General features: G+C 39.1%; 2 pseudogenes, besides 1 other annotated feature; both read left to right on the forward strand.

Moving 5' to 3' along the window:
* Positions 608–669, forward strand: RNU7-183P (RNA, U7 small nuclear 183 pseudogene; annotated as a pseudogene).
* Positions 2,203–2,411, forward strand: MCRIP2P2 (MAPK regulated corepressor interacting protein 2 pseudogene 2; annotated as a pseudogene).
* Positions 6,381–6,430: an enhancer, noted in NCBI's record as "active region_2244". NCBI's record gives its function as "activates an Ori minimal core promoter by ATAC-STARR-seq in GM12878 lymphoblastoid cells {active_cell/tissue: GM12878}" and the evidence as "EXISTENCE:reporter gene assay evidence [ECO:0000049][PMID:35858748]".

The raw sequence follows: 8,048 nt of genomic DNA on the forward strand, positions 1-8,048 counted from the left end.
CTATATTTATATAACATGTTATATTTTCTGTAAATTTAAGATTTAAAATTTGCTTTGTAAAATCTATTAAGTGCATAATCATGGCCCATATACTGTGAAGATGTTGTTCATGATAGTGTGGTGGTTAGGGGCACCCTCTCTGAAAACAGTCTGCCTGGGCTTTAATCTCGCTGTGCCCTTTGCTAGCCCTCTGACCTTGGTCAAGTTACCTAACCTGCCCTCTGTAGAAAGGAAGTTATAATAGGGTTTTGTCATCTCCTATCTCCTATGACTGTTGTGAGAATGAAGTAATTTAATATTTCTGAAGCCTCTAATATTTCTGAAGCAGTGTCTGGCATGTAGGAAACTCTATGTGAGCAGTTGTTAAATATATAAGTGTTTGAATCTCCTGAGTGTTTCAATTGTTCAGCAAATTTATAATCCACTTACGTTTACTTTCACCATCTTCTGCAATGAATATTATGAGAAACTCCACATGCTTTGCAGAAATCTATTTACATGGTGTCTGGAGTTTTTGATCAACATAGCAGTCACTTAATAAAGGCAGTGAAGTTAGTTTGAAATCACTTTATGAACAGTAAAATATTTGTTATTAATATTATTACAATAATGTTACAGCTGTTTTAGAATTTATATACTAGATTTTCTGGTTTTCACTGGAAAACCCCACATGCAAAAAATTATATTATTATGTAATTATTATTAACTAATGTCCAATTTTCACAAAACATGTTTAAAAATTTTCTCTAGACATTTGTCAGGGAGTAGTCTATATTTTACAGGTTCTCATCTTTCCTCCCCTTCTGTTATTCTTTTTTTTTTGAGACAGAGTCTTACTCTGTTACCCAGGCTGGAGTGCAGTGGTGTGAACATGGCTCACTGTGGCCTCCAGCTCCCTGACTCAAGCAATCCTCTTGCCTCAGCCTCCTAAGGAATAGCTGGTACTACAGCCACACACCACCCCGCCTGGCTAATTTTAAAATTTTTTTGTAGAGATGAGGTCTCACTGTGTTGCCTAGGCTGGTCTTGAACTCCTGAGCTCAAGTGATCCTCCCACCTCGGCTTTCCAAAGTGTTGGGATTACAGGTGTGAACAACTCGCCTGGCCTGTTATTCTTTTTCTCCATGATGTTTTAACTGATTGGGATATTTGGACAATTTATTTCTTTAAAACTAGCTCAAAATTACCATACTTATGCATAATTGAATACATAATTACAATACATTGTAATAAACAGATAAGTATAAAAAGAAAAGCAAATTAAAAACAAACACCCAAATTTCTACTGTCCAGAGTAAACTACTATTAATATTGTTTTTTTTTCTTCCCCCTCTTCCCTCTCTTCCCTCTCCCTCCCTCCCTCCCTTCCTTCCTTCTCTTCCTTGTCTTTCTTTATGGAAGAATGCTATTCATAGCATTTTATAGCTTGTTTTCACTTAACTAACTATTAATGTATTTCTACAATATCTATTCTACAACAATATTCTATAACACTCTGCCAGTATTCTACAACATCATTTTGATGGCTGTGTACAGCTCTGTTGTATGGATATAACATAATTTAATTAGCAATCCTCTATTTTGGAGCACTAGTTTTCAGTTTTTTATTATTATTACAAATGTAGCATTTTGAACACTTTTATAGGTAAAATTTTGTGCACAACCATGATTATTTCATTGGAATATATTATTTGTTGAGTCTAAAGCATAGAGCACTTTTAACCTTTTAATAAATTTGACAAACTTCAGCCCCCGCAGAAATATTGTTGTTGTGTGTACTCTTAGTCTTGTCTATTCTGCATTAATAATAATAAAAAAAATCCCCTGCCTTTGTTCTGGAGCATATGCATTAGTGAACTCAATGAGTGTTAGAAATCTACGTCTAATTAAAAAATGTAGCTGGGCCCACAGACATTACTTTGTTATAGAAAGGCTTTAATATTTTTATTATCTTAGTTAACAAAACCATTTGTGAGCCATGAGTTCTATCTGTGAAATGGATCATTAGATGGAGATTGGCTTATCATTGAGTTCTAAAGCCCTAGAAATCTTTTTGTCTCTAAAGAGGCAACAAATAGGCTAATACTCTACTGAATACCTAAGAGAATCAGTGAGCAGTTGTGATATGATGGTATCTACCACTGATTCCTGATGTGAAATTGTTCAAGGGAAGGGAACTAACTCTTGTTAGAAGCCAGGCACTATACCCATGGGGAGAATGTTCACTGGGTGTCTGAAGCCTGGCAGCAGGTGGAACTGCAGCCAGATGGTGGCCCAGCCAGGAGAGTGAGCCAAGGCCTATGCAGTGCATGGAGAAGAACCCTAGCCCCTGCTGCACAGATTTGTGCCCATTGGCCTGGATGGAGTGGTGGGTGCAGCAGTTCCTGGCTAGAATCATCAAATGGTCATAGCAGCTGCCTGAGAAGAAACACTACCATGGTGAACTCTTCACCAAAAGAGAACCATGGTGCCCCATCCACCTGCTGCAGCCTGGCTGAGCACTGGCCATACCTGAAGTGAGAGCATTTGGACTTTTGTACCTGCTGTTCCATTGGGCCCAATCGCCAGAGGTCAAAGGCTGAACCTGTATGACCTCAATTCTGCTTACTGTACCCAGGGACCCACCCTTAGGACTGGCAGGAAGGAGCTCCAGGCTAAAAAAGAAAAAAAAGAGAGAAACCAGGCACTGTACATACATTTACATCATGAAATCCAAACTACAGGCTTACTGAGGTTATGTATTAGCCTTTTGATTTTCAGAAAGATAAATTGAAGCTAAGAGATTATTCCATTTGTCCGAAGTCACGTAAGGTCTAAGGTGGAGTTGAGATTAAAATATAGGTCTACCTAACTCCAAACGTGTATGCCACCCAAGCTCATTCCTGCCCTTATCATAGTGCACTATCTGATTGAACCATTAGCTCAAGAGTATTCCTTGAACACAAAGATTAAATATGAAATGGATACGGTATTTAATAATACATGTCTACCTCTCCTGAGCTCTTAAGGCACTCAAGGTTGGAACAAAGCTGTTTTGTGGCCCCTTCCTATGTTCCTAATTTAATGATGGTCAGTAAGACTCAGGAATCTGACTGCTCCAGTACTTCTTTCTTATATAGTCTCCAAATTTCTAATAACATGAATTGGCACCTACTAACCATAAATTTATAGTCCTAGAAACATTGACCTGAACAGATCACCTAATCATATCACTTCTAATTTTTAAAATGCATACCACTCTAATGGGGGAAAAATAGATATTGCCAGAATTCATTGCAAGACAAATTCTTGGATGGGACAGTAATGAGGCAGTGTCTGGTTTTCATTAAAGGTAATAAATAAATAATTCATAACCCAAACAAAAGTAGTATAGGCTTTGTCATAAACATTATTACTATCCAATGCACTAATTGTCAGTGGAATATGCTTTGAGGAACGTGAAATGAGACCTTTCTTCCTACCCTATTTTAGTTTAGTTGTCACTTGACTCCTTGAGAGCTTCAAATCTAATCTATTTTAAAATGGCTAGAGAAAAAAGTACATTACTCAAATGTGAAAAGTGTTGCAAGAGAAATTCATCCTGAGTTCAATCAGGAAGGGATCACTGTTTTGCTTGTTTCGTTTATGGGTAATATAGTTTTATCTCCATAGAAGTTTAAATTTCATGCTCAGGATTAAAGATAGTAAAGTGCCAGCCAAATTGGTATTTTTGGAAAAGCTACATAAGATTTCACATTCAAACCTTAAACACATTATTCCTTTCTTCATTGTATTACTTAATCTGTTTTTCCTTCCTATGGAACTAGCTTTTGTTTTGAAATATGACATAGTAATGGACTATTGCAAAGGAAAACAAGAATAAAGAAATATGATTTTTTGGTGTTGTTTGTATGCATAAGTATAAAGTACTTATTATTGTTAAACCAAGCTTTTTGTTTTACCTGTTTGGAGAAATAAATTTCTCTGTGCCACATGGCATTCCCTGCTGGCATTTTATGGGGCCACATAGGAATGAATGGTCGATTATTTTTTGGAAGGTGGTTTGTTGTAGAGGATAAGAATTTCATGCAAACAACATATATACAGGGTAGCATAAAATGGAATTTAATGTATAAGCAAGGATATGACAGTGTAAAAAAATCTTGGATGCAGAATCAGGAGGTCTGTGTAAACAAGAGGTGGTTGTGGGGACTGCGCTCTGAAAGGAGTTAACTCATTCTGTGACAGGAAGCAGACTTGGGAGAGGAAGAAGGAGGGATTTCACAGCTTCAGAGTGGGGACCATGGAAGTTCAACACAAAGGATGGCTCTGGATAAGTCTGTGTGATGCCCTGTCCTGGGAAAAAAAACACTGCATAGGGAGAAGCGAGTATGTGAATGAGCCTCAGGATGTGACTTTGGGAACCCCGTTAATTTTGGTGGGGAGTACACTTGGTTGAGTGCAGCCTAATTCCCATCTGGGCTCATCCTTGCTTGTCCCTTTAAGCACTATGAGGCCCAGCCAAGAATCTGTACTCTGATGGTGGAAGTGACTGGAACCAGAGACTCAGATGAGGTCACCTGGGAAACAAATGTAAGTAGAGAAAAAGAAGAGAATCCAAGACTGTTCCAAAGTTCAGAGGTAGGTAGTAAAGGAGGAGTTGAAGAGGAAAAGACCAGTGAGGTAAGAGGAAAATTAGGACAGTGGGGCGACATTCTTCTGGGGAGAGAAAAGTGTTTCAGAAAGTTAAGGAGTGGTCAGTAACACTAAATGTTGCTAAGAAGTTCAGCATGACGAAGGCACAGGATGTGTCCATTGAATTTGGTAGCATGGAGGTCATTGGCGAACTCAACAAGAACATGGAAGCTTGATTGGAGTGGTTGAGATGAGACTGGGAGGTATGAAAGTGGAGACAGGAGATAGAGTTATTCTTTTGAGGTGTTTGCTATAAAGAGAAGGAAAGAAATGGGGTAATAACTAGATAGCATATTGGGTCAAGGGAGGGTGATTTTTCTAAATAGAGAAACTAGATCTGATGCAACTGATTCAGAAGCATGGGAGAAATACAGTGATATAGGACAGAGAGGGTATAATTGCAAAGTAGTGGGAGAACATAGATTCAGAGATCTAAGTAGAGTAGGTGGGCTTTTTTGGAAGAAAGGACACATCTACCTTAGTAACTTCAGGAAAGAAGGTAGAAAGCAGACGCACAGAAGAAAGGAGATATATAGATTTGGTGATGAGAAGATAAGGTAACTCCATTTAAATTGCTTCTAATTTCTCAGGAAAATAGGAGGTAAGTTCAACAGCTGGGATGAGACAGAGATGTCTGAGGAAGAGAAAGAATAAAATAGCTGTCTATGAGAGCTGGAAAACAAGCACACTGGGGAAGTGTCAAATATCCATTCATGACTCTGAGTCATGAATTTATGGTGGAACTATTTAGTGGCATTGAGTGGTTTTCTTTAGCAAAATTCAGTTACAAGAATTTGGCCAGAGTTAAATTTAATCAGGTTTGAAGGTTTTCTGGGGAAGTCAGAAGGAGGGAAGGGGCAGAAAGTAATTAAAGGAGTTTGCATGCAAGCAGGTGTCTGGGCACAGATGGCAGTGAGGACATGAAGGTAATGGACTGGAAAAAATGTCACCAGTGAGTGGAGGAGTGGTCAGGAGGTTGATATATACCATCCACAAGGAGGGAGATGTGAGTGAATTGTGGTCTAATGATATGAGCTGGATATTTTAAAGAAGGAGAGGCAAAAGAAAGCTTTGAAAATGGTACTAGGAGCTAGGAAGACATCAACCAGGCTCTAGGTTCATGGGTTATTAAGAAAAAAGCAACCCTTGCTTGTGGTTATAGGAAGGAAAAGGTTTCAGTTATGAAAAGAAGATGAACACCAACTGGGAGTCCCCAGTAGCCCAGTAAAGGAGAGGATAGAGAAGGTGGGGGGAATGAATGGAGGAGTATGGGATCCAGACCGGAGGGAGATGGGTGGATGAATGATAGGGTCTTAGGCTTCTGAGAGTGGTTGAGTTAAAAGGGAATAAAGCATGAGAAATTCATTTTGATGGCCTCTTCATGGAAGGCCCAGAAGTTCAGGTCTCTGTCCCATACTATAACTAGAAGGAGTGGAGAAGCTACAGATGAAAGGTGTTATATGAGCTTCCTTGGGGTTTCTGGCCTCAGCTAGAGGTCCACCAGCTAGAGGTTCTTATTGTGACTGACTAGCTGCATGCCCTTGGGCCAATTCTTGTCTGCTTTCCTCATGTATAAAATGAGTCATTTTCAGTGCTCATGTGCTATTCTCATTCTCGGGAATGGTTCTTACTTCCTTGTCAGCCTGTTGAAATCCTAGACATTCTAAGAATTATCTCAGAAGCTGTCATTAGGCTATTCTCAATGTAATCACCCAATCAACCAGAAGTGACATTTCACTTCTCAGAATCACTGTTACACTGTCTGAACCACCCTCATGACAGTTATCAACATCTTCTAACTAATAGAGTTATTTGTGTTTATCTCTCATATATGTTGAAAACACCATGAGAATAGGAGAGGTGACACATTCTTTTTGCTCATAGCAGGTGCTTGATAAGTGTCTGTCAAATGAACCAGTAAAGCATACTTCTGGAGGACAAAGTAGTCATGAAGTAATGGAGACTTATTAGAAAAAAAAAGTGAAAACAATCTTGTATTTCAAATTTGCATGAGACATTTAGGTCAGTGGAAAATGTGATGTCATCAGGTCTAAGAGTTGCTTGTGTGGCTGTTGCCACAAACTTGTGTCAGTTACAGATAGAATAAATCTATTAGCAGAGAATTAATTGCTGTATGCAGATAGCTTCATGGAGTTGAAATAATTCTGCCATGTTAAGTGGAAAATAGCAGAGGAAGAAAGGAAGAGGTGAAAATTAATGTATTTGAAAGAATGTTGAAAATACAAGAACAAGTGGAAGGAAATACTATAATTCTTAGGCTTTAAAAAAAAACATAAACGTAAATGTAGAGGCCAGGCGCAGTGGCTCACACCTGTAATCCCAGCACTTTGGGAGGCTGAGGCAGGCGGATCACCAGGTCAAGAGACTGAGACCATCCTGGCCAACATGGTGAAACCCCGTCTCTACTAAAAATACAAAAATTAGCTGGTCATGGTGGTGTGCACCTGTAGTCCCAGCTACTCAGGAGGCTGACACAGGAGAATCGCTTGAACCTGGGAGATGGAGGTTGCAGTGAGCTGAGATGGCGCCACTGCATTCCAGCCTGACTGCAGAGTGAGACTCCACCTCAAAAAAAAAAAAAAAAAAAAAGTAAATGTAGAATTTGTTCTAATACTCAAGGGATGAAAAATTTCTCCAAGCTAATGATTGTCTAAAGCACATATTTCTACTGGGACATGTTTTAATTACTGGGCTGTGGAAATCATATGACATGGGTTGGAATGTGAGTTGTTCTGTCTGTTAAGTGAAGAATTTTTAGTGGCTGCATTTTTTTGAATGAAACATTGAGTCACATGATCTGACAAGAAAGAATGTACTTATGGGGTCAATGGGACAGAATACTGGACATTGGAAAATTTCCAATAGGAATAGGAAAACACCAGTTTATGTTATATAACACCACCATCACTATTACCACTACCACTGCCATCACCTACAAAAATAGGAGCAAAAGCCTTCTAAGCACTGTGTCAGTGTCTGTTCTGCATATTTTATGTCTTGCATTAGTCAAGGTTCAACCAGAGACACAAGACCAGCAGGACATATATAAAGACATTTATTGAGAGGAATTGGCTTATGTGATTGTGGGGGCTCTGTAGGTGAGGCTGTTAGGAAGGGCAGGCTGGAACCCTGGGGCACGAGCTGAGGCTACCAGCCACAGACAGAATGTCTTCTTCCTCTGGGAAACTGCAATTTGGTTTTTAAGGTCTTTCGCTGATTGAATCAGACCCACTCAGATTATTGAGGATAACCTCCCTTACTTATAGTCAGGTTTATGTACTTTAAGCACATCTACAAAATACTCTCGCAGGAGCACTGTGATTAATGTTTGGTTGAATAACTGGAGACTGTAG

Source organism: Homo sapiens, chromosome 1 (genome assembly GCF_000001405.40).
Source record: "Homo sapiens chromosome 1, GRCh38.p14 Primary Assembly".
In the NCBI taxonomy this organism is placed as follows: domain Eukaryota; kingdom Metazoa; phylum Chordata; class Mammalia; order Primates; family Hominidae; genus Homo; species Homo sapiens.